Below are 27,120 nucleotides of genomic sequence, written 5' to 3'. Positions count from 1 at the left end.
GCTCATTCAATGTCTGGAGCAAGCTTTCTGCACTCCACTGCCGGTGCTTTCTGGCTTCAAAAGCAGCTTCGAGACTGAGGAATAGTAGACAGGATTAGAATAAGGCCCGGGAGTTCTACAACTCTGCTGAATTCAAAAGGACCATGATCTTGGTCAGCTAAACCACACCCGATGGCCAAGGGGCAGAGGAAAAGATGGCAGAGTAGAGACTCTTGGACTTACTCATTTGGATTTTGGAGTTTTACCTGACTTGGTCAAGCCTCATGCCAGATCCAGGTGAGTAGCTGCCTGGGCTAAAAAGCTGTCAGTCGAATCTCGTTTCTGCCAACCTTGACAGATGATTCACTGTGATCCTTATTTCTTCTCTTTTTGCCTCGATGTAGGCACTAGGGGTGACTTGCAATCTCCCAGCAGAGTCTATTCTGGCCACCTGCTGGGGGAGAAGCTGGCCAACCTCTACAAAGGAATTGTATTGATGTGTAGGAATTGGGGGAAGGGAGTTAGGGAGGATAATCAGCAATGGATTGATGGAGAGGTATGAATGACTCTTCTCCCAAAGGGCAGGCTTTCTTGCCCCAAGTCTTCTTGCTCCTGACCAGGCCTCTATCCCCTGCCCTTGCCTCCTGTATACTTCTTTGCTCTCAGTCTGCATGATTCCACATAAGCAAACAAGGGAGCTGTTGGAAAGTGTGAAGGGCCCCTGCCTGGTTTCCAACACAAGAAAGTTAAGTGAGTGAGCAGCAGGCACGGGCTGTGGATCGGATTTCCTACAGCATGTTGGTACCCAAGGCGCTTATCTAGAAAGTTCATCCACATGAAGGTGCTGCTGAGCTGGGTTCCCACAGGCCAGGCCTCTGGGCTGACAAGTAACTAAAGATGAAAGGGGGACCCAAGGGTTTTGGGGCTGTATGTCTCATCAGAGCCTCAATATTCTTTACTCTGTTCTCCTTCTCCTGGATTACAATAATCATTACTGGGTATAATCAAGTAATAGACCTTAATGGAGTTATATCCGTTTTGCAGAGAGGAGTACGGGGTTTAAATGGGCTTGTGCCCATGCTTGTATTTGCACAGAAATGCCCACCCGAATGTGATATATATACTTCAAATATTTGCTTGACAAAGCCTTGAAAATGCCATATTGCTTGTGGACAGTAATTGTATCAGTTGTTTAGTTCTAGGCATTCCGAGGAGAAAATTCTTCTAGTAGCTATATATTCCCATCTATGTTATGACCAGTGAATAATGCCAGAGAGTGGTCTGATGTATACCTTCTATAACACTAGATTCTCCTATATCTACACAATACATTTAGCCTTAGGATTTTAGGTACTTTCCAAATGACCCATTTATTATTATTATTTTTATTAACCCTCATTTTGTGAGTAGAGAAAATGAATCATCAGGGGTTTCAGTTATCTTCCAATTATTACACAGAAGTCTTTCTGAGGTTTAACTAAAATCTTACCCTTCCCAGATGACAAACAGATTTGTGTGTTTAAGTGTATGTATTAGAATGTACATCATGGGAGCTTTATACAAACGCAGCGGGTATATCGCTTGTTCTGTTAAGGTATGTGTATGAGAATAAATAATGGAGAATATTGAGTCATTGTAACTTGGTGACTTCGACTCAGGCTCTAGACTTTTCAACAGAGACTTTTCTGATAGCCTGCTGTGTGAGAAATGAGGCTGAACGCTGCAAAGACATGGTATTAATTCGTAGGAACAGGGTTATATTTAATACCTCATAAATGTATTTCATAGACGCGTACAAAGTTTAACATAGGTCTTCCCAATAATGAACAATAGATGCTTGAAAGCTCCCCCAATTTGCCATCACATAGAAAATTACCTCTTTATTTGCTCAGCTTCAAGGCTTTTGTTTCCTTTGCTTGTGTTTCCTAAGCGGTATGAATTTCTCTAGAAATAAAAGAGATTTTTAACATGGCTACTCTAAAATAAATCAAGCCTCTGGTTTTAACTGTGCCAGGAACATAGTAGAGAATCAGTAATGGTTTGAAGATTGAAGGAATGATTGAATAGTTCCCTGAACTGTAGGTATTGATTTATGTTAATGTATACCTCTATATTTATTTACACAGGCATGTGCTTTCTTAAGTGGAGTAGTCAATGTTTTGACTCAGTTGACAAGTTCTTATCTTAATGTCTCATTTAATTGATCAGCGACTTAAATTCAGTCAGTTAATCGGTTGCTTTGGTATTATGTAAATATATTTAAAAAATTTTGTATCCTTGAATTTTTCTTCTTTGTATTTCCCATCACCATCTATATTTAATCAATATACATTGAGTAGTTTAAGATAAGACCTCGTTTCTCTGAGACTACAGTTTGAAATACGCGTGCAGTATAAGTCAGGTATACCAAATCCTGGAACAGAATTTAACTTCTTTTCTCATACTTCCTGATGGGAGACCTTGAATGACCAGCAGAGCTAATGGTAGCACAGGGGTCAAAAAATTTATTCCTATAAGGTGACAGAAGGAAAAAGCACATCGTTGCTTGAGAATTCTATAATTAATGCTAACTACAAGTCACAATCTATGGTTGTGTTCTAAGAAGCATTTTGCCCAAACAATGCTAGGTGAAGCAGTTGCTAGTGTTGTCTGGACCGGACACCTGCTTTTTACAGACTTATGGGGGCATGGGGACCTAGGGCTCAGACACATGCATTATTCACTGTTTCTTTCTCCGCTTATTAGCCTTGTGGGTAAGGGCAGCATTAACCACCGACCCAGCAGCCTTTGAGAACACCATGGCCAAATTCAAGAAAACACACAGTCTTGTGTTTGGGGCTTTAAGAGACTCTAAGGTGACTTGGTGCTCAGGAGGATTTGAGAACATATTGGCTTATAGCCATTACTGTTGGCTAATAATTGCACTAATCTTTTTGAGGTGGGGGTTAGTATTCCCCCCTCCCTCAATCTCCAAGACAGAGAACAATGGGAGAATTGTATTTCTGCACTATTCCATGAGATAGGGTCGGGACTGCAACTGGGTGGATATAAGGTCTTCAGGGGATGACCCACCAGGTGTTAGCCCCAAACCATTGTTAAGAAACCCAGGACCTGAGCATTACAGCTTTGGCCTAATGATAGGGAAGCATTTCCCTAGCTGAGCCATTTCAACAGCAGCTGTTTTGGGGTTCTCAAAAGTATCCTTTGGGTGCTCAGAAGCAAGTGCAGTGCTTGCTGGAAGAGAAAGGGGAGTGAAAGGGTGTGTGTGTTTGACCTGCACATGTCTGTACTTGTGTGTGCTGCCTTCTATCCTTTTTTCTCTTGCTTATAATTCACTTAGTAAAACCATTTTGTCTTCTTTAGCATGGATGACATTAAATTGAAATTTGGAATTGCAATGCCACGTGGAGATACCTCTGTAGAATGAATTGTGAGTGTGTGTGTGTGTGTGTGTGTGTGTGTGTGTGTGGTTGTTGGTGGTGGGGGCCATATTTGTCTTTAATATTAAAGTCAAGTTATCAATTCTACTACCAGGAGTTAAAATAATCTACAAGATTAATCTATGCAGAGGGTGTATCCTCTGATGTAGAAAGTATCATTTAAATGTAAAGTTGTGATAAGCGTGCATCCTCTAATTTAGAAAGTACGTGCACAGTAGAAACTCATGCCTAGAAGGTTCCACTAAGAAGTTCAAGGGTTCTTAGATCCAAGGGGCAGGTAAACCTCAGAATATATTTGTCACAGTTCGTCCTAATCTCCTTCACTTTTCCCAAAACGGGGCCCATGATCATTTTAAACATCTTAAGCCTACCCGTTCCTTTTAGGGAATTTCCACGGGCTAGTTGTTCAAATGTGGGGCACTGAGAAAGCCAGATCCTTGCCACATACCGACTGGGATAGGTGCAGAGCATTTTATTTCTCCTCTGCCTCTCCACCCAAGGTTTCCCTCGTGCTTGAGAGTTCCAGCCCTTTCTCCATCTGCCGCCTGTTAAGCAGCTGCTGGGTTCAGCAACAAGGAGGCTGGTGTGGCTGGTGGACGGAGAACACTGTTAGTGTAACTTGGCAGGAGGTTGCACGCTGGCACAGAGGGGCGGTGAAAACGAGAGGAGGTGAGAATGTCTCCACGGGGTGGGGGGCGGAGGACAGAGAAGGGGGACGACCACTAGGAGACCCACTGCCCCCGGTGGCTGGAGCTCATAGGGAGCGGCTGGTCCAAATTGGATGGGGATCCAGCAAAGGCACAGTGTCTCCCCTCCCAGACCCCAGGAGTTCTCCAGCCTGCATTTTCCAGCTCCCCACGAACATTTCCAAATTAAAAAATAAAATAAAAATACGTGTGGAAAAATACAGTAAAAGTGACAGCGCCTTCCCGGTTTCCGACTGTTCTGTTTTGACTTCACAATCAGCCAAACTGGAGCCCCTGAGTAGCCAGCTTAATTTGTCACCTTGAGTTATTAACCGTTTCCCTGCCTCTCTCGGTGGGTGTCCTCCTGGCTCCTCGCCCTGGCTGGCTCAGTGACCTGTTAATCTTGTGCCCTTTCTCTCGGGCTTATGGCTCTGCCTGGAGAGCCCTGTTTCCCTCTTGGAGTCAAATTTGAATTCATTTCACAGTCACCACTTAGCTGGTTTTTGCCAAGTGGTGGCTGAAACAGAAGGGTGATGGGAAAATGCAGGAAAGAATGGCTCCAGAGGCAGCTCTCGCGGGGTCCCCCGTGTCCTTTAGAAGTTCAACAGTTCAGTCTATTTCTCTTGGTTAAGGGCCAAGAGGCAGAGGGAGGCTCACTTTAGAACTGGGATGATATAGAATGTAGTCTATTGGGAAGCAGAGGAGAGCTAATCCTGATACATTTTTTATGTCAGCAAAGTTAGTATGCATGGTATTCTATCTCTCTTTCCATTATCCCTCTGGTACCTCATACTTTCATGTCTCATGCAGGCTTGGGACTTTTTTGGACAATATCCCAAGAACACCACTATCCAATGTTCCCTTTTTTCTGAAGACTTACATACCCCTAATACCATTCATCCTTGAAGCCTTGTACTTTAGGACATCCAACTTATGAATACAAGCAATGAATCCAAGTTAATGAATTCTTTGGGGGAGCTACTGGTTTAATGTGTTACTCAGAGTACTAAGGTGTCTTTTAGAAACAAATGTAAAATGTAAATTAAAAATTCTTTTTTATTCTTATAAGATGTAAATTTTCTTATATTTAAAGAGGTAGTATGGTTGCATGAACTATAATTCAAAATATAGAAATCAAACCACCTCCCCCAGCAACTCAAGTCCTTTTCTAGAGGCAACTGCAATGATTAGTTTATTGCTTATCTTCCCACAGATGTTTATGCACATGTGGGCAATTATAAAATCTCTACCGGTTTTGTTTTTTTTTATTATTATACTTTAAGTTCTAGGGTACATGTGTACAACATGCAGGTTTGTTACATAGGTACACATGTGCCATGTTTGTTTGCTGCACCCATTAATTCGTCATTTCTATTAGGTATTTCTCCTAATGCTATCCCTCCCCCAGCTCCCCACCCCATGACAGGCCCCAGGGTGTGATGTTCCCCACCCTGTATCCAAGTGTTCTCATTGTTCAATTCCCACCTATGAGTGAGAACATGCAGTATCTGGCTTTCTGTCCTTGTGGTAGTTTGCTCAGAATGATGGCTTCCAGCGTCATCCATGTCCCTGCAAAGGACAAGAACTCATCCTTTTTTATGACTGCATAGTATTCCATGGTGTATATGTGCCACATTTTCTTAATCTTAATAATTAATATTAATTATTAATAAATGCTATACTTTAGACTAGTTTTAAGTTTAAGGAAAAGTTGTAAAGATAATGACAGAGTCTCCATTTACTGCATCATCCAGTTTTCCCTTTTGTTAACGTCTCATAGTTTTGTGGTACATTTGTCACAGCTGGGGAATCAACATTGGTATATTAGAATTAATTAAATTCCACAGTTTATCAGGTTTCGCTAGTTTTACCCCAGTGCCCCTCCTTGGTTCCAGGATCCCATCTTAAATTGAGCTGTCATGTCTTCTTAGACGCCTCTGATCTGGGACAGTTTCTCAGACTTTCCTTGTTTTTGATGATCTGGACATTTTTGAGGAGGGCTGGTCAAGTATTTTGCAGAAGGTTCCTGAATTTGAGTTCGACTGATGTTTTTCTCATGGTTAGACAAGGGTTTTTGAGACAATGACCTCAGAGACGAAGTGCCTTTCTCATCATGTGATATCAAGGGTACGTACTTTAGTATGACTTATTGCTGATGATGTTAACCTTGATCACCTGGCAAAAGTAGTGTGTGTCAGGTTTCTCCAGTGTGAGGTTACTTCTCCTCGCTTCCATACTGTAATCTTTGGGAGAAAGTCACCAAATGCAGTCCAAACTCAATGAGTGGAGAGTTACGGTCCCTCTCCTTGTGGCCCCTTTAATTTTCAACAACATGACAACATACCCTACGGGCTTTGCCTTTTTGTTTGAAACAACATATTTAAGAGATTGTCTCATGTCAATAACTCAACAACTTCCACATTTTCTATTAATTTGCATTTATTCTATGGATGTATGAATACCATAATTGAGTCAACCAGTGATGCCATTTGTGACGGGCATTTAGGTTGTTTCAATATTTTGGTCTTGTAAACAATGCTGAAATAAATAACCTGGTACACGCTCAAGTATACCTGCAGAATAAATTTCTGAATGTTAAATGGCTACTTAAAAAGGTGTGATTTGTCATTTCTTTTTTTTTTTCTTCTTCTTTTTTTTTCTGAGACAGAGTCTCGCTCTGTCACCCAGGCTGGAGTGCAGTGGTGGGGTCTCGGCTCACTGCAAGCTCCGCCTCCCTGGTTCACGCCATTCTCCTGCCTCAGCCTCCAAAGTAGCTGGGACTGCAGACACCCGCCACCACGCCCAGTTAATTTTTTTGGTATTTTTAGTAGAGACGGGGTTTCACCATGTTAGCCAGGATGGTCTCGATCTCCTGACCTCGTGATCTGCCCGCCTCGGCCTCCCAAAGTGCTGGGATTACAGGCTTGAGCCACCACACCTGGCCTAGTGATTTGTAATTTCATGAGCTGTTGCTGTATTGCCTTCCACAGACAGTCAATTTATAATCCCTCAGTATTATATAATCAGGAAGATTCAGTGAATGGAATTTTGGGTTGGTGGAGGACATATTTTTTAATTGGTAGACCACTGAGTGCTTTTGCAAATCTCCTTAAATCACATTACAGCAGGAACAACTATAGAAAATACAATTATTTAGGAGCAACCTGATCTGTGAGCTAATTTAATGAGTGGAGCCCAGCCTACATGCTGAAGAGCTCACATGCCTCCTACCTAGTTCCTTAACTAGGTTTTCACTCATGCCCATTTTGTCATACTCTTGAAACCTTCCTATCTTTGCATAGAACATTATTCTTTCCACTCCCACCTTCTTCCCCAACCAATCATGTACCTGTTGAAAGTTTGTATCTTGGCTAGGCCTATGTGACTCATTCTTTGCTGTTGTAGCACAAATTCACTCCATCTACCTTATATTTATTTGCACCTGTATATTGCTACATTCAGCCTCTTACGTCATTGTTATACTGAAGACACTTTTGCCTCACATGTACATTATGAATATGCCAGGGTAAGAGGTTGTATCTTCTCTTTATTGCATCATTCCCCAAAGGCTCTTGAACCCAATGTGAAGAAAGTCCACATTGCTAGTAGACTGCTGGCTGCTCCTCTTCTCCTCAGTTCGCCTCCATCACCTGCTACAAGAGTCACCTGGGAGGAAACCATTGCTGTGAAGATGTCTGCCTATCCCTGGCTTCTTGGTGCTGAGACTCCTTACTGAAAATAACTTGAGAGGGACAAATATTTTATTTGTGGCTAAGTGACAATTTCACAGGGGTAGTGAGGAATAGCTATAAAGATCACCAGAGAGAAGTGAAATTATCCGAAACCACTAGAAATCACGGTGGAGTAACTTTCTTTTTTTTTTTTTTTTTTTTTTTTTGAGACGGAGTCTTGCCCTGTCGCCCAGGCTGGAGTGCAGTGGCACGATCTCGGCTCACTGCAACGTCTGCCTCCTGGGTTCAAGCGATTCTTCTGCCTCAGCCTCCCAAGTAGCTGGGACTAAAGGCACGTGCCACCATGCCAGGCTAATTTTTCTATTTTTAGTAGAGATGGGGTTTCACCATATTGGCCAGGCTGGGCTCCTGACCTCATGATCCACCCGCCTTGGCCTCCCAAAGTGCTGGGATTACAGGCATGAACCACTGTGCCCAGCCCAGAGTGGAGTAACTTTGGGCCACAAAGGCATCGTGGATGGTAGGGACCGTGGCTTCTCTGCTGTGTTGGTGCTGGCTGCCTTGAATTTATTTACTGCAACTGGGTGGGCTGGCAACCGAGAAGGTTCTCCCTCTTGGCCATTCTGGTATTACACTAGCTGTTTTAATCTGTTCTGGCTGCTATAAGAGAATATCACACGTTGGGTGGCTTAAAAATAACATAAATTTATTTCTCACAGTTTTGGAGGCTGGAAAGTCCAAGATCAAGGCATTAGCAGATATGGTATCTGGTGAGGGTCCACTTTCTGGTTCACAGATGAAGCCTTCTCTCTGTGTTCTTATATGGTGGAACGGACGAGGACTCTCTCTGGAGCCTGTTTTGTAAGGACACTAATTCCGTTCATGAGGGTTTCACCCCTATGACCTAATGATGCCTCAAAGGCCCCACCTCAAATTAATATGATGGTTAGAATTTCAATATATTAATTTGGGGGAAACACAGATGTTTAGACCATAGCGCTAGGGTTTTTTTACTTTTTATTTTTTTCTGCAAATCCAAGTTGAGACAGACATACTCTGCTCTAATGTAGTTGTCTTTTGTCTACGTCTCTGAAACCTAGCCTTCCTGAGATCAGAACATTGAGAAAGTCAGACATCTTGCCTTTGGGAACGGGCTTCTTCTTCTTATTATTTTGTCTAGTGAAACATCCTCCATTGCACTTCTGCTTTGTAACCCTTTTAGCCCATACACACATCTATGGAGATAGTTTATTCATTTGGTTCTTACTCATTCAATCTGTTTAAATGATGGGATTTTAGAGTTAGTAAGGTGTCTTGGAACCCCAAAGGGAAAGTCTCTCTCAAGGTCACAAAGCTGGTTGCAGAAGTCCAGGGTCATCTCAGACAGGTCTCTAACACCCACGAGTTAGTTTCTCTCTATCAGACTCCTTTATTTACCGAGTATCAAATAATAATAATAACAACAGTAGTGATTAATGGCTGGCACTTACTGAGTACTTTCCATGAACCTATGATACGATAAATGCTTTCCATGTATTGTTTTCTTTCTTTCTTTCTTTTTTTTTTTTTTTTTTGACAGAGTCTCACTCTGTCACCTAGGCTGGAGTGCAGCGGTGCAATCTCAGCTCACTGCAAACTCCACCTCCCGGGTTCAAGCAATTCTTCTGCCTCAGCCTCCCGAGTAGCTGGGATTACAAGCACCTGCCACTGCGCCCAGCTAATTTTGTATTTTTAGTAGAAACAGGGTTTCTTGACCAGGCTGGTCTTGAACTCCTGACCTCATGATCCACCCGCCTCGGCCTCCCGAAGTGCTGGGATTACAGGCGTGAGCCACCGCGCCCAGCCCCCATGTATTGTGTTCTTATAACCACTCTTTAAGTCAGGCAACTATCATTATCCCCATTTAGCACATGAGGAAATTTAGGAAACAGTGACTAAGTTACTTGTCCAAGATCACAGGGCTAATAACAGGTGAAGTCAGGACAGTCAGATTGCTGAGCTTTCACACTTATCCTTGCTATGATGCCTTTCTGTGCTACATTACAGAGCAAAGTGGCACATGGAATGCAGGAAGGACATGGCAGAAACAGTCTCAGCCTTTGAGGGTTTCCATTATAGCCCGGGGGGCAAGATGTGGGGATAGGATTGCCTATAAAATACAGAACACCCAGTTACACTTGAATTCTGGATAGACACTGATTTTTTTTTTCTTGAGTCTAAGTATGTCTCAGATATTGCCTGGGGCATACTTATCCTGAAAACCATATGTGTTGTTAATCTGAAATTCAGATTTCACTGGGTATCCTGCATGTTTATGTGCTCAATCAGGCAAGATTTTATGGGGAAAATAAAGCTTATAAGCTATACACTTTTCCTTTTCCTCGACCCCAGATGATCTTCTCTCTGTTCTCCTTTCCTTCTTCTGTACCTCTTGCTATTGGGCCCCTCTCCCTGCTGTGTGCACTCCTTCCAAGATATGCAAACTTGGGACACAGCAGTAGGTTCTAGAGCTATGTACCAGGCTGCCCAGCAGTCAGTGTGAAAACATTTTCCCTTCTCCCTGGGAGCTCAGCCCTGGGGTGTGCCCTGTAACGCCCGAGGCCTTGATGCTTCTGCGGGAACACTCTTCCTCTTGGCTCTCTCCATTTGCTCTGCTCAACCTATACGCCACCCCAGACATATTTTACCAGGGTTCCCACCCCGTCCAGTCCAGTGGCTTGCACTGATTTGCATCAGGTCACTTGGTATTCATTAATATTCACCTACATCCCTGAACCCAAAGGGAATAAGGCAGCAAAGGAGCCTGGCTGCTTCTTTGTTCTCTCTCTGAGATAGGCTTTCATGGGAATCGGATGAGCCGTTGGGGTGGGGTGGGCAGCTGCTCTGAGCACACTAGCTGCAGTCACTGCCTGTGTACTCTCTGGGATGGGGGCGTTCCACTGGCTATTTTAAGGCCAGACTGGTGAATGTTAGGTTCCCCTTCGTTTACCTAGGCTTTCAATATTTTCCCTGGCACACGCTAAGTTGGTCACAGAATGTGGGAAACCAGGCAAGGGAAAAAATTAATGCAGTGTGCTGACGCCCCTGGTAGCTGCTGCTAGATTCCATGGAAAAGATGGGGGGCTTGCTATCTGTGTCCATGGGGGCCTCCTAAAGCTGTTAGCTGTGTTGGCACCTGCTCAACTCCAGAGATGCTGGAAAAGGAAAACTGGCTGCAAACTTGGTCCGCAGCCTGCCTGGTAGCCCCAGCTCCACCCATTCCCGTGGAGTGGCTTTGCCCACTGTGAATGCCCCTTTATCGTCAGTGAGCGATAATGACTTTTCAAAAATACTGTGTAGGCCTTGTGTCCCGGATGCCTGTGGTACGAAGGCTCTGCTTCCCTTTCAAGGGTGTTGGCTTAAAAACTCACCCAGAAACCTGAGAAAAATATCTCCACTTGGCAGCTCAGGAGGCTGACACCAGCCACCTTCTGTGCTTCAGCCTGCTGGCCATGAGCTAACTAGCGGACAGTTATTATAAGGGAAGGAAGCAACTTCAGTACAGAGAATTATGCAGCAGGCAAATGATAGTTATCTAAAGTCCCACAGGGAATATTCCCCGTGTCACTTAGACCTGCATGGTGAGGATTTAATTCAGAACCTTCCCTGAGCTGTAGATTGGCTTTGCAGGAATGTCCCCTCTTGGCCTCCTGCAGTCCTAACCTCTTGGTTAGCACTGTGTCATTACAGCCTATAGTGGAAATCAAGTCCTCCTGTGGGTCTGAAGTTGGGTGTGTAGTTGGGTATTGGTCTTTCCCGTGGGTCAAACATTTGTTAAGTGCCTACTGTGTACTAGGCACTCGACAGTCACGTAATGCTGTGTACCTTATGTCTATCAACCTGCATTCACAACAACTCTGTGTGGTAGGTGTCATTGGATCTGCTGTACAGATGCCATCTTCAGTAGCTTGACTATGGTCACCAGACAAGGTCAGCCTGGAAGACCTCCTGTGCAGTGTCTTCCTTTACACAAAGGCTCCAAAATAGCAGAACTTTAATCTTGAGCATGCATTTTTCCATCTAGTTGCAGCTTTAGTCTGGAAAAATAGGTCATACCCAGAGGTGATGGGTCCACTTGAAGATTTTTATTTTGGTCATTTATCACATATTAGCAACTGAGTTCTATTCAGATACAGGTAATATAATTTCATTACTTTTTAATGACTGATATGGTTTGGCTCTGGGTCTCCACCCAAATCTCATGTTGAATTGTAACGTTGGGAGAGGGATCCAGTGAGAGGTGATTGGATTACGGGGGCAGACTTTTCCCTTGCTGTTCTTGTGATAGTGAGTGTGTTCTCACAAGATCTGGTTGTTTTAAAAGTGTATATCACTTCCCTTTTCACTCCCTCTCTCCTGCTGTGCCATGTGAAGATTGTGCCTGCTTCCCTTTCACCTTCCATCATGATTGTAAGTTTCCTGAGGCCTCCCCAGCCAGGATTCCTGTACAGCCTGTGGAACCATGAGCCAGGTAAACCTCTGCTCTTTATAAATTATCCAGTTTCAGGTAGTTCTTTATAGCAGCGTGAGAACAGACTAATACGGTGACATCAAGTGAAAAATGCCTCAACCCAAAGCTGTTGTCTTTCTGTCATGTCTGAATGGGTTCTGTTGACTGGAGGACCTCTTACATCCTCAACTGACCAGAAGATAGAGATGGTTCAATGTGGTCTCCAAATTGACTCACACTGGTCACTGAGATGTCAAAGGCAAACTCTTCTATTAAGAATGTGAAATGCTCCATATGAGCTTTTGTTCCTGCAGAGGTAATGCCCAGTGTGTGCACGTTAAGTGTTGCTAACTTACTGGTGGAAAGTGAGCATTGGGAAAGTGCTTAGAGTCCCTGATGTTTGACTCAATCCAGGTAAAATCATAATCACGGTTTTATTGATTGTTTGGTCCTCAGGGTGATCCTAATCCCTTGCCCTCCATGAATGTTACCCTCCCTGACTGTGGTGACTATGGGCTAGCCTTCATTTGGAGAGTCCCAAGAGCATGTATAAGTGAAATACCTGTTATTAATATCAGTTATGATTTTAAATTAAGTTCTTGACAGCCCAAAGGATCACAGCCTTCTTGTAATAGGCAGACCCTCTCCCTCCCTGGAAGACAGGAGTGAGCAAAGCACAAATATCTAGAAAAAAAATTCTATTCTAGTTCTTACCTCAGAAGACATAAACCCAGCTTCCTGGAAAGTATGGAGAGATGGCCAACCCCCCAAACCTGCCTGTCATTCTTCCTCCCATGATGAACATTTAATATAACATTATGCAGATTTGGGGGCAAGTTGGTTGTTTACTTTTACTGCTTAAGCTTTTGCCAAGCTTTCTACATGTTCTTTATATTGCTCATCAAAGGCCATTCATTCCATACCATTTCCCAAGAACGTGCTGTGGACAAATCCCTATGCTTGGTGCTCTGAAGGACATAGATGGGGTCAAGGGTAAACAAGGGAGACTAAATGACCATACTAAAAACAAGCCAACAACTGTCAGGCAACAAACAGACTGTACAACCATGGTACTGACACTGTATCGCAAACCATACATTCTTCTGCCAAAACAATCAATTAACACTCCTGGAAATGAATTAGAATAGTACACTGTTTTCCTGCAGATGCCCTAGTTTGCTGAGGATAATGGCTTCCAGCTCCATCCATGTGCCTGCAAAGGACATGATCTCGTTCCTGTTTATGGCTTCATAGCATTCAATCGTGTATATGTACCACATTCTCTTTATCCAGTCTATCACTGATGGACAGTTGGGTTGATTCCACGTCTTTGCTATTGTGAATAGTGCTGCAATGAACATACACATCCATGTATCTTTGTAATAGAATGATTTGTCTTCTTTTGGGTGTATTCCCAGTAATGGGATTGCTGGGTCAAATGGGGAGGGAGAGCATTAGGAAAAATAGTTAATGCATGCTGGGCTTAATACCTAGGTGATGGGTTGATAGGTGCAGCAAACCACCACGGCACACGTTTACCTATGTAACAAACCTGCACATCCTGCACATGTACCCCTGAACTTAAAATTAAAATTAAAAAAAGTACATTCACTACTTCATTCTGATATTCACTCAACAAGTACTTCTTGAGGGTCTTTAATGTCAAACTTCTGCATTAAGCCCTAAGAAGAAAGTAGAATGGTGAAAGATAAGCTCCGCACTTCTAAGAGCTTATAATTAGGCCGATAGGAGAGATTATAAGTAGGTCTTTCTTATATTGTTATTGTGTAGGATAAATAGGGAGTCTGTTGTTTACGAGGAAATTTATGGTTGAAATGCAAACACACAGGTCAAATTCAAACAGACATCACTCTTTTTTAGGCACCCATACATTAAAAATTATGAAAATTTAAAATAAGAGAGAAGAAAGTTTGACACTAAAGTGAATGATTTTTAAAACATTTCTCTGTGATAAGATCTCCAATTGATGAGGAATGTGTAGATGTACAGGAAGGGTATGGTCATGGAGTGTATTTCATCAGGGCAACAAACCCTCCTGTGTGGCTTAGATTCAAGGTAGCTTTAGTAGAACTTGAAGGTGACAGACATACCTCCAGGAAATGGTGGGGCTTAAGCAGAGTGGAAATAGGGAGAGAGGAAGTCCACACTGTGGTGGGAATGGAGGACAGGAAAAGATTCTCCTAATGTGAATGGAGGAGCAAAGCTGTGGGGTAAGGAAAGAGAAGGATAAAGGGAAGGAATAAATGTAGGGTATGAGTGCTAGCTAGACTGAGGTCTTCTGTTTTAAATCAAAACAAACTTTTGTATAGGTTAAATCTGTGCATGATACAAAAATCAAAGGGTCCAAGAAAACATATTGTGCAAAAATTCAGTCCCCTCCTGGCCTTAGCTCCTAGCCATCCAGTCCCCTACCCCACAGGCACCAGTGATGCTTCTGGGTATCCTTCCAGGGATAGTATGTGCGTTTATTCAAGCACTAGAACAGTGGTTCCCAAACAGGGGTGATTTTACCCTCCAGGGAACACTTGGAAATGTCTGGAGACTTTCTGATGGTGATGATGGAGAGGGTGGTGGTCTGTGGGTGGGGTGCTAACATCTGGTGGACAGAAGCTAAGGATGTTGCTAAACATCTTATAATGCACAAGACACATACAATCTAGTTAGAAAGGTTATAGAGAGGAAGGAGATAGATTGTCAACTGCCCATACTATTAGGCACTTTGACATTTTTAATTTAAAATATAACTTGGAGACCTTTTTAATTTAATTCAACACACAGAGAATGGCTTGTATGGATGTAAAATACCGAAACACAGACAGCTGTCTTTGTAAAGCTCCATAATATTCTATTATATGGCTATGTCATACATTTCTTCCCCCATTGTTGGACATTAGGTTTTTTCTCACAGTCTTCTGCATTATTCCGCACAGCATTAGAGACAATGCTTTTACATTCACCTTTCTATAGATCTGGAAGTATATTTGTTAAGATTAATTCCTTGAAGTAGAATTGCAGGGTCAAGGAGGGTGTATGTTGGAATTCTGATAGATATTTAGACTAATATTAAATTTGCCATGATCAGGTTTTTTTTTTTTTTTTTTTTTTTAGAAATTACACCTGCTGTTCTTTGTTTTAGTGTTTTAGATGTCTGGAGATATGTTCTGGTACTGTGGGCAACAGAAGCAGATAGCACAATGCAGTGCTTTCTCAACTTACACAATCTTAGGAAATACTTAGGGAGCTTGTTAAAAATATAAGTTATCTGCCCCTCTCCCTACACCAAGAAAATCAGAATCTTCAGAAGAGGGGTCTGGGAAGCAATGTGAACAAAGCCAGGAAATGTGGGCAACTGTCAGCATGACAAGGCAATGTCCCAGATCTTGATGTGGGGCTCAGGGTAGATGTAATTCAGAGTCATGGGAAAGTTACAGGAAATCCTTATAGCACAGATACTTGGGAGGGTTAATGAGCTGTGTTAGTTTCATCCTCGGAAGTATTTCACAAAATCCCAGGTTCTTCCTGTTGGGAAAGGTTAGGCAAGATCTGCACAGAGGCAGGTGGCCAGGTATAGGGGGTGGGTAGAGGGTTGGGAGGTGACAGTAGATTAACAGGCCTCTGTTTCATTTCTCATTCATGTACTGCGTGACCCTCTACCTATGTTTTATATCAAAAGTGTTCCTTTTTAAAAGTTAGGCAATATCTGTATGAGGCAGGTGGCCAGGTATGGAGGGTAGGTAGACGGTTGGGAGGTAGGGGCAGATTAACAAATTTGTGAACTTCTACCTATGTTTTACATCAAAAGTGCTCCCTTTTATAATAATTATGCCAGCTAATGACTATAGAGAACTTTCTGTGCCTGGCCCTCTGCTCTACTGTTCACATATATTGCTTTTACTTCTTATAATGGTGTGATATAGTAGGTCACTTCTTACTTCTTCATTTCGGATATGGAAACTGAGGGTCCTCAGGATTAAGTGATATGCCCAAGTTAATCCATTCTATCAGTAGTATAGCCAAGGACTGAAATTCAGGTGGGTTAGATTCCAATACTATGATCTTTGCAAATTCACTGTACATACTTTTAAAAAGGGAGTAGGAAAAACCACAGAATAAACAAGCCAGTACGGAAAGTCTATTTACACATTTTTACCTTGAAACTAATGAAACATTATTTTAGCACAGAAAGTAAAATTTGCATTTAGCATAAAGATAAAAATAGGAGATACAGAGATGTATATTGTCAGCTGGCCACTTCCAGACCTCCAGAAATCTCGCTTCACTTTTCTCTTAGGGTTTATTTAGTTACAAACTTTGAGGAATACTGTACTCTATTCAGTCACTGACATTCACGTCTCAGTTTGTACACTTAACACAAGACATGCCATGAAAAACATTTGTACCTTCAAAACAGCGTGGCATCAAAACACGTAAAGCAAACACTGTTAGAATATGCAAGAACAATTTGGGCAGAAAACACACTTGCAAACCTAAACAAGCACAAAACCACAAAAACAGCAAATGGAGTAACTTCTGTTGAAAAGTTCTCCTTCTTGAATATCTTTTTCCTTCTTTTCTCAGGTAAAAATGGTGCTACCCTTGGAAATCCAAGAGCAGCTTCAAGAGTCAACTATACCAGCAATCCCTAAAGCTGGAGAATTTATGCCCATGGAAAAGTCTGTAGCGTTTTGCAAACTGTGAGGCTGAGGAATAGACCTAGTTCCTGCAGCAGATCAAAATGGTAGCCCCTTTTCTTTCCATGAAAAGAATTTCTACGGAGACAGTAGGTTTCCCATTGGATTGTTGTCAGATGAATTGACCTTATCTCTTTTCAACCCTTACTCTCAGAAAGATGCAGAAATGCAGCAACTATTGCAGGGATTCCGTGAGACCAAGGACCTGTCTCCATAGCAGGGTGATGTTGCCTTTAGTAATAATTATAATGATAAAAATATCATCTGATGTTTATGGAACAATGCCAAGTACTAGAACAGTGGTTCTCAACCAGGGGCAGTTTTAGCCTCCCAGGGGACACTTGGAAATGTCTGGAGACATATTTGATGGTGATGATGGAGAAGATGGTGGTCCGTGGGGGGGGTGCTAACATCTGATGGATAGAAGCTGAGGATGTTGCTAAACATCCTGTAATGCACGAGACAGTGTCCCTAACCTCCAACAAAGAATGATCCCTCACAAAATGAAAAGAGTGTTACAGTTGAGCAACCTTTCAGTAGACTGAGGCTTTTACACATATTTAGCCTTCAAAATAACCCTATAAGACACACAGTTATTGTCCCCACTTTACAGATGAGCATATTTAAGCTTGAAGGAACTAGCTCCAATTGTTTTGACCTTTGAATGCTCTCAGGTTTCTTTGTTAAGATCTATTTGGTTCTATGGCCATAGCAGAACATTTAGGTTTGTTCAGTGGCTGGGAATTGGTTCCCTCAAATGTCACCATGGAAGTTATTCAGCTTAAGCTGACCCAGTCCCTCTCCCATTCTGCTGACTAACAGCTGGTGGCTGGAGCTGCGGGGAGAAGATATTATATAATGTCTACAAAAGTAACGAAAAGTTGATTTAACTGCTAAGATAAGCAACCAGCAAGATAGAATTTACACTGATTTAAAAATATGTTTGCTGAGCATAATATCTAGACTGCCCCCCACACCCTCTGTTCTTTATTCCTGACTTCTGATAGTGCTGTGGCATGTGCTGTTGAGAAATCAGAGGTCTCAATGCCATGAGAATCAGACAAGAGGCAATCTCCACACTGCAACCATACACAGAATTAGGTCATTGAATTCCAAGAGTATTGGGTCCTTTGGAAGACAAACTCTGTTATTCTTTTTTTTTTTTTTTCCTTTTTGATAAATGCCTACCTCCTTTTAAAAATATTTCCGACAGGAAAATCAGACTTTTTCTTTTGAATCATTTCTCTGCATCTGGGTTGGATGTTGACTACTTCTTCTCTTTCCTCTGCTCTTTTTCTATCCTTTTCGCTATTTTTTTCAACCTTTTTCACAGTTGTTTCTATTTCCTTCTTCTCCCCTCTCCTTATAATAGCTCCCACTGTGCACCAGGCAAATCAGTATGGTTGGGTCAATAAGGGCAAAGACCTCTTTAGAGTGGTGGGGAGGCACCAACTTTGAAGTCTTTGGTAAATGAATAAAAACCCCCTGAAAGTTTTTGAAACCTAAGCTGGGTACAACAGGGTACAAATAGAAATAATTTTTCCCCTCACAATTTTCAAAAACTTTCTATCCTAACCAGCTATCTGCCTTGTCCTACTGCTCATGCACATTTAAATGTTATTATCACTTCAACTAACTGATTTCAATGAAACTCAAAATACATGTTAATTTAACAAACATTGATTAATCATGTTTTATGGGTCAGGTTGTATATTATGGGCTGTGAGAGGTAGCAGGATGAATATGTTGTAACCTCTGCCTTGTAGGAACTTTACACTTTGGTGGGGAAAATGAGTAAATAGACATCCAGTTGTCACTATAGGTTGAAGTATTCATTATCAATTGCTGTAGAACAAATCACCCCAAAAACTTTGTGGCTTAAGATAACACACATTTATCATCACACAGTTTCTGCAAGTCAGGAATCCAGATATGGTTTTACTTAGTCTTCTCATTTCAAGGTTTCTCATAAGCCTGCAATCAAGGTGTTAGTATAATATCTGTGGTCTTATCTGAAACCTCAACTAGAGAAAGGTTCACTTCTAACCTAACCCATATGATTGTTGGGAGTATTCAGTTACTTGACAATTGTTGGAAGGAAGGTCTCAGTTTCTCACCAGCCATTGACTGGAGGCCACCCTCATTTCCTTGCCACATGGGCCTCTCCAACACTGCAGCTTGCTTCTTCAAAGCATACAAGCTGAGAAGGCAATTGAGAGAGGCTGTGAACAAAACAAAAGTTACAGCTTTGTGTGAACTAATTTTGGAAATGACAGCTCATCACTTGTGTGTATTCAATGGATTAGAAGAAAACCACTAAGTCCAGCTCACATTGAAGAAGAGAGTATTCCATCAGGGCTTGAATACCAGGAGGGGAGATGATTAGGAGCTGTCTCAGAACTGCCTACCTATAAGGTTTAAGAGATTGTTAAACAGAGGCTCAAAAAGCTGTCGTTTGCTAGGCGCACTGGCTCATGCCTGTAATCCCAGGACTTTGGGAGGCCGACGTGGGCAGATCACGAGGTCAAGAGATCGAGACCATCCTGGTCAACATGGTGAAACCCTGTCTCTACTAAAAATACAAAAATTAGCTGGGCATGATGGTGTGTGCCCGTAGTCCCAGCAACTCAGGACGCTGAGGCAGGAGAATCTCTTGAACCCAGGAGGCGGAGGTTGCAGTGAGCCAAGTTCGTGCCATTGTATTCTAGCCTGGCAACAGAGTGAGACTCCATCTAAAAAATAAATAAGTAAATAAAAAGAAGCTGTGATTGCGTGAAAGCAGGGAGTGATAAAGAAATCTTATTTTTAAAAGGAGATTGTTTTACTCTGCTGATACTAGACTTCTCTAGAAGGTTTGCATCTACCCAGTGATTTGTGGAATAATCCCAGACCTCCAGAATTTGCGATTGGAGTGTTGGTGGCTAACTACTTAAGGTATTATATCTCTAGTCATGATGAAACATGAAGCCGCAACAGTGTCCCCAAAGCCACATTTATGGTTGTTCTATTCAGGCTTTGTCTCAAGGAATTTTTTGTAATCAAAAAGTCATTCAGTTGTTTATAGTTGTTATTACAGTTGACCCTTAAACAATGCAGGGACTAGGGGCCCCAACACCCCATGCAGTCAAAAATTGGCATGTAACTTTTGACCCCCCAAAAACTTAACTACTAATAGGCTACTGTCTTATTGGTAACAGAAACAGTTGATTATACAAGTTTTGTACATTATATGTATTATACACTGTATTCTTACAATAGACTTGAGAAATGTTATTAAGAAAATCATAAAGAAGAGAAAATATATTTATTATTCATTAAGTGGAAGCAGAACATCATTAATGGTCTTCATCCTTATTGTCTTCACATTGAGTAGGCTGAGGAGGAAGAGGAAGAGGAGGGGTTGGTCTTGCTGTCTCAAGAGTAGCAGAAGCAGAAGAAAATCCAAGTGTAAGTGGACCTGCACAGGTCAACCTATCTTTCTTGTTCAAGGGTAAATTGTACATTTATATGCATTTTTTGTATCAGTTAATGCTAGATAGTTAAACTCAAGGATGAATTACCTTTGAGGGATTAGATAATAAAGCTCAAAAATTAGTAAGATTTACCTTTGAGGGCTTCTCCTCTGTCAAGACCAGGAGTTGAACTATGTCCTTTGGGTTAAATCTGTCCCCATCTCATCTGTTTTTGAATGGCTAATGAGATTAAAAAAAAAAAAAGATAGTTTTTATGTTTTTTAACGTTTGGAAAACAAATAAAAAATATTTTATGACATGAAAACGATATGAAATTTAAATTGCAGTGCATATAAAGTGTTACTGGAATGGAGCCATGCCCATTTGTTTCCATATTGTCCCCTGTAGACTGAATGTCTGTGTCCTCCCAGAATTCTTATCTTCAAATCTAATCCCCACTGCGATGGTATTTGGAGGTAGGGCCTTTGGGAGGTGATTAGGTGATATTGTTTTGCTGTGTCTCCATCCAAATCTTATCTTGAATTCCCATGTGTTGTGGGAGGGACCTGGTGGGAGGTAATTGAATCATGGGGGCAGGTCTTTCCCGTGCTGTTCTCGTGATAGTGAGTAAGTCTCATGCGAGACGATGGTTTTAAAAATGGGAGTTTCCCTGCACAAGCTCTCCCTCTTTACCTGCTGCTGCCCATGTAAGATGTAACTTGCTTCTCCTTGCCTTCTGCCATGATTGTGAGGCTTCCCCAGCTACGTGAACCTGTAAGTCCATTAAACTTCTTTCTTTTGTAGATTGCCCAGTCTCAGGTATGTCTTTATCAGCAGCATGAAAATGGACAATACATTAGGTCTTGAGGCAGGAGCCCTCATGCAGGGGATTAGTACCCTTATAAAAATAGATCCCAGAGGGGTCCCTTTTCCCTTATGCCATGTGAGGACACAGAGAGAAGACACCACCTACAAACCAGGAAGTAGGCTCTCGCCAGATGCGTAATCCACTGGAGTCTTGACCTTAGACTTCTCAGCTTCCAGAACTGTGAGAAATAAATGTCTGTTGTATATAAGCCACTCAGGTCACAGTATTGTTTAATAGCAGCCCAAACAGACTAAGACATCATCTATGGTTGCTTTTGCAAAAACAGCAGACATGAGTAGTTGCCACAGAGACCATATGACCTACAAAGCCTAAAAATCTTTACTATCTGGCACTTTTAAGAGAACATTTGCCCCCTTTGGTCTAGAGGAAGATGGACACTCAAACAAATGATTATTGCACTGTGGTAAGTGGTGTACTGGCCTTACAGACAAAAGACATCAAGGAGCACAGAGCAGGAGTCTGCAAACTTTGTGGAGCTCTCCTTGAGGATAAGTAGGAGTTTTCCCAAAATGGGAGGAGAAAAGACAGAAAAATTGATCTCAAGAGTTTGACCCACTTACGCCTAGTGTTCCATTATTGGAATGCTAAGCATGTGGGAGTTATTTATATCCTACTGCTCAAGATCATCACCAAGATCTGATTGCAAAAATTGCAACCTCAGGCATAAATGGGTCAAGGTGGTAATCACATACTCCTTAGAGAGTGAGCTACTCCCTGAAATTGCTGGCAAAACCCTGTGTTTATGTACATATGTGTGCTTTTCCCACCTTAGGGATAGAGTTTATCTCTTTCAACAGGTTTTCAACAGCTTAAAAACCACTACCATGGGCGGACATGGCAGCCCATGCAAAGTCACAAAGGTGTAATGTAGAGAACAGCACACTCATGGGGTCAACAGTGAGATCAATGAGAACACAGAACAGATTTCTATGGAGGACAGTGGGAAATGAAGCTAAATAAATGTCACCCAACATCAGAGGGAGCACCCAGGACGGGGGGTGGGGCAGAGGTCTGAGGCTGATTCAATACAGCATAAAGGACTAATTAGTACAAGTATAGTGAACAACATCAAGTTAAACAGATGTGGACTTTGCTCTCAGGTGGCTACTCCATCAAATGCAGTTGGTGGACAGGCAAGAAGAACCCAGTTAGCCTGCAGAGAGGCTGTGGGTTGGCAGTTCATTGTGTTAAGAATAGAAGGGCTGACCAGATGGTCAACTCTTTTTTTTAATCTTTGCTTTTTAAAAATTGATCCAAATATTTGTACTTATTTATGGGGTAGCTATTATATTTCGTTACATGCATAGACTGTGTAATGGTCACATCGGAGTATTTGAAGTGTCCATAACCATTAGTCTTTATCATTTCTATGTGTGGAACATCTCAGGTCCTCTCTTCTAGGTATTTTGAAATACACAATACCTTGTTAACTATAGCAAATAACCAGCTCTTTAATCATTCCTTGGTCAAATCTCCATTTCATATACCCCTCCAAACCAAAACAACATTGACTAAATCTGCCTCTGGCCCTGTGAAAGGCCAGCCAAACAGCAAGAGGCCAGCACAAGACATAGCTTCCTCTTCTAGAGCTGAGAATTCACTTTTGATTGTACTGTGGGGCACATAGAACAACATCGAACTCCCAGGTGATGGGAGGGAGAGTTCCTAGGACTAGGGAAACAGGGCCTATGGATGTGAGGTGTGTGAGGAGGTGGGGTGGGGAGGTAATGGTTTTCACTGGATTCCTTTTTATATTTTATTTAGATTAAGTTCTGCTCAGCAGGGTGATTTCTTAATTAGAGCTGCCCAGCCAAGCAGACCTCCAGCTCAAACCCCTGTGCTGCCTTCTAAGGTTTCATGAGGGACCTTGTCCTGCCTTATTTCCTGAGTTCTAATATTTGAATAGTATGCAGTGGATTTCAATGGGAGGAAAAGACATGTAATTTAATCATTGTTATTAGATTTTGCCTGTGGATGGGGAGAGGAGGGGGAAGCAGGAGGGACATGGGTCCTTTCTTTGTTAATTTTCTTTTTCTTTTTCTCTACCTTTCTTCCAGTGGTCAAAGGAAGAGGAGGATCAATGGCCTTTTTTCCTCCCCCCAACCTTTTTTTTTTTTTTTTTTTTTAAACAAAGAAGCAAAGTGAGAACATTAAGCCCGAAAGAGAACTGTGTTCATTGCAGGACTTTTTGAGGTCTGGTTAAGCCATTTATATAAAGAAATTACACAGTTCCTCTTTGGTAACCTCAATCCTGAAAGTTAGTGTGACAGGCCTACAGCTTTTTGTTCTCTTCATCACTCCAGAAGTTGCAGACTGCGCTCAGCAAGACCTCACAACATGGAGGAAAATTAAAGAGATAAGTGGTCCATGGAGTATCCCCTTACCCCACCATAAATTGGCATAATTTTGTGCACAATCCAGGGAGAAGAAAAAGAAGACCAGAAGCTTGCAAACCATTCGAGAGAAGGAAGGGAGCTTTGTCATGTTGCCATCTGAGGCAAGTATACTTGGGATGGGACAGGCAAGCTGAATAGGAATGAAAAAGAGCACTTGGTCAACAAACACACAAATCTATTAAGGTTTTTCAAGAAAGAGAGACAAAATTCAGCATGGTTCACCAAAAAGAAAAAGAAAAGAAAAAAATTATGTCCAGAACTCTCCCAATTGTCCTGCTAAATACACACACACACACACACACACACACACACACCAGCCTATAATCCCCCCTACCCCGCCCCCCACCTCATGCCCCTATCCTGTTGATCTTTCCTCACTTAAAAATTATCAGAAAAGAATTTATTCATTTGGGAGGATTCCAGGCACTACATTTATGTTGCGTTCAGATGAAATGGGATCCAGACTTTTCAAACCGTACTGTTTTACAGATAAAACACAAAGGCAGAACTTCATTATCTGGAGACACTGCCCTTTCTTTTTTCTCCTGCCTTTTGTTTCTGAGCAATTTTAAGCTTGTTTGGAAAGTATCATAACAGGGGCAGAGCGTTTTTTACCACATCTATTTCAGGAGGGTTTTTAATACAGAATAATAAAATTATTGCTAAACAGATGGAAGAGTTTTACTAAAGCTGGAAAAGACACTTTTGCTAATACACCCTATAGGCTGATCTCAATTCTCTCATTGTTAAGAATGCTTGGTCTAAGAGAGTCTTATTTATGTGCCAAATGGCTTTATTAAATCATTATATTAACACAGAAAAAGTCCTATTACAATGGCTGTCTCTGTATGATCAAAACTTGTCCGTGATCCTGCTGATAGCCTATTTATTCTGAAATTTAAAAAGGTAACATTCCAGTACAGCCTAATGTTTGGCCAAGTTTTACAAAATTCATTATAATATGGCTGGAAGGGTTACTATGTCCTAGCCAGGGAAGGCCTAAGTTTTATCAGGGCAGTAGTCCCCTGACAAAAAGAAAACTGTGAAAAAGAGACCTCTCATCCACTCATAGAAATTAATCCCTGGCAACATTGTAATGATTTCACCTGTAGAAATACAATGGGTCTGTGATTTCTACTTTGATTAATAAAAAAGCAAACAAAAACAAAAACGCAGGGTAATCTCAGTGCTTTGGGAGGCTGAGGCAGGAGGAACACTTGAGGCCACAAGTTTGAGACCAGCCTGGGCAACATAGCAAGACCCTGTCAATACAAAAAAATTAAAAACTTAGTTAGGCATGGTAGCTTGTGCCTGTAATTTCAGCCACTCAGGAGGCTGAGGTGGGAGGATTGCTTGAACTTGAGAGTTTGAGGCTACAGTGAGCTATGATCATGCCACTGCACTCCAGCCTGGGTGACAGAGCAAGACTCTGACCCCGACCTACAGCCCCCCGCCGACCAAAAAGAATCCCAGTGGCAAATTCAAAGGCAAATTAATTGCACTGGTGAACCAGGACTATGGCATGTGAAAAGAGTTTAAAAAGCCAGGAGAAGCAAAGTTTGTTGTATACTGGATTTTGAAACCGAATAAACACAGACGCACACACAATTTTTGAATGTAAAATTAATACATGTTGATTGTAGAGAAAAAAAATCACTCCTAAGCCTACCACTGAGAAAGCATATGTGTTTTGGCTGCCCAAGATTGATTTCTGCCTTCATGTGGAAGTAAGCTTTAAAGGCTCTGTGTTAGGGCATAGTCTAGAAACATGGGGCCCAAGGGCACCGGGAAAACTTACAAAGGGAAGAGATGGAACTGGGAGGGTTCAAGCTACCAGTTCCATCTCTCCATGTTTTAGAGAATTGGGGCACTAAGTCAGCCAGGTAAGGTCAGGTCAGAGGAGGGCCCGGATGAAGCATGAGATGCAGAGGGACAGTGCGTGAATGGAGACCTTGGGTAGCACCAACGTGTAGCGGCAGAGGTGGGGTGGATGTGGCTGATGTCAGGGAGAGAATGGGGAGCATGCACAGGGCTCAGTCTTATACATACATTGAAAATCCTTTAGCCTTTCAAAGATTATTAACCCAAATCACCTTTCTTGCTTACTCCAGATGCCTCAGCCTCTGATATAATTGCTAAGTATCTGCCGTGTTAAAAATAAACATTTGAGAATCAAGGGTGATTTTTCTCTTTTCTTTTGAATTGTAATTGCGATGTACTCATGGCCTGCCATGACGTGAGGTCTGGCTTAGATTAGCCCCTGGCTGAGAGACCCATGCTAATTTAGTGCCTGCAATTATGCCTGCCTCTAATCGTGTTCTGCTCTTTGTAGGATGTACCCTTTGCAATAGAAGCAACGGTTATGCTGGGTCATCTATACTTTCTTGCCCCAGGCCGCTTGTGACACACATTGGTGAGACAACTGGCCAGGATTAGGGGTATGATCTGTGACCCTGAAACAGAGTGAAATTGATTGGCAATGAGGGATGAGGGGGGTGATCCTATTAAAATTATAAGCACCGTAAGTATTCTAATATCTGACCCCTCACTGTAATGGATGTGCACCTACCTCCCAGCCATAAAAATGCTTCCAATAAAAGAATCAAAAACGAAAACATGCAGAAAAACTTTTATGTATGAGTGCATTTGTCTGAGGTGTCATCCAGCTGTAGCTTCAGAGTAGGGGTGCACATGTCAATTGAGAATGATCAGCCTTTGCTTTCTGTCTGCAGAGGCTGGCAAAGGGGAAACAAGCTGCATAGTTTAGTGCTGGCAAAATAAACCACTATGCAGTTATAAACAAGAGTGGGTGGGTGAGTTGAAAGATGGGTGGATGGGTGAGTGGGTTGGTCCCCTTCCTGATGTATAAAAACAGAACTCCTAGGTTTGGGGTTCATGTTACAATTGGACTCCAGGAAAACAGACTATACATTCAAAATCTAAACCAGTTTTAAAGTATAAATTAAAAAGTATTTTCCCTCTAGCACATTTAGATATTATTGTTTACTAAGAGAAAGAAGAACAGGCTACATGCCGTCTTCGATAGCTCCCTCATGCTCCTAGATCCACAAATGATACCAGGGAAGCCACTGCTTGCCTCTGTGCCTTTGGGGAGGCGGAGGTTGTAGGGGGAAGTCTGAAAGCTCACCATCACGGAGCTCCAACTCCTTCTTCCTGGGATGCGGCACTTGCCTGTGAAGCCACAGGAGGCTGGAGGGGTAGAGGCTGGGGGCAGGAAGAGGAGGAAGTGAGGAAGGGGGCGATGCCCGGGAGGGCTCTGGGAGAGTAACCAATTCCTTCACTGGGGGCAGGCGGGAGTCTCCAGGGTCACTATGGGGCAACCTGTGAAGGGAAGGGAGGAAAGGGATTTCCGGAAGTCTCCCGC

General features: G+C 42.3%; 2 long non-coding RNA genes across 3 annotated transcripts; one reads left to right on the top strand and one right to left on the bottom strand.

Moving 5' to 3' along the window:
* Positions 1–23,628, top strand: LOC102723517 (uncharacterized). Its single transcript, NR_110877.1, has 3 exons — positions 1–276; positions 20,372–20,445; positions 23,397–23,628. It is a non-coding gene; the product is annotated as an uncharacterized LOC102723517 (long non-coding RNA).
* On the bottom strand, positions 16,438–27,081 carry LINC01152 (long intergenic non-protein coding RNA 1152). Of its 2 annotated transcripts, none has more exons than NR_110124.1 (3): positions 26,884–27,081; positions 20,604–20,690; positions 16,438–19,730 (listed from the first exon to the last, which is right to left on the bottom strand). It is a non-coding gene; the product is annotated as a long intergenic non-protein coding RNA 1152 (long non-coding RNA). The 2 variants fall into 2 exon arrangements; NR_110132.1 differs by having other exon boundaries at positions 16,438–19,220.

Source organism: Homo sapiens, chromosome 17 (assembly GCF_000001405.40).
Source record: "Homo sapiens chromosome 17, GRCh38.p14 Primary Assembly".
Classification (NCBI taxonomy): Eukaryota; Metazoa; Chordata; class Mammalia; order Primates; family Hominidae; genus Homo; species Homo sapiens.
This window is presented reverse-complemented; position numbering and strand designations above follow the sequence as displayed.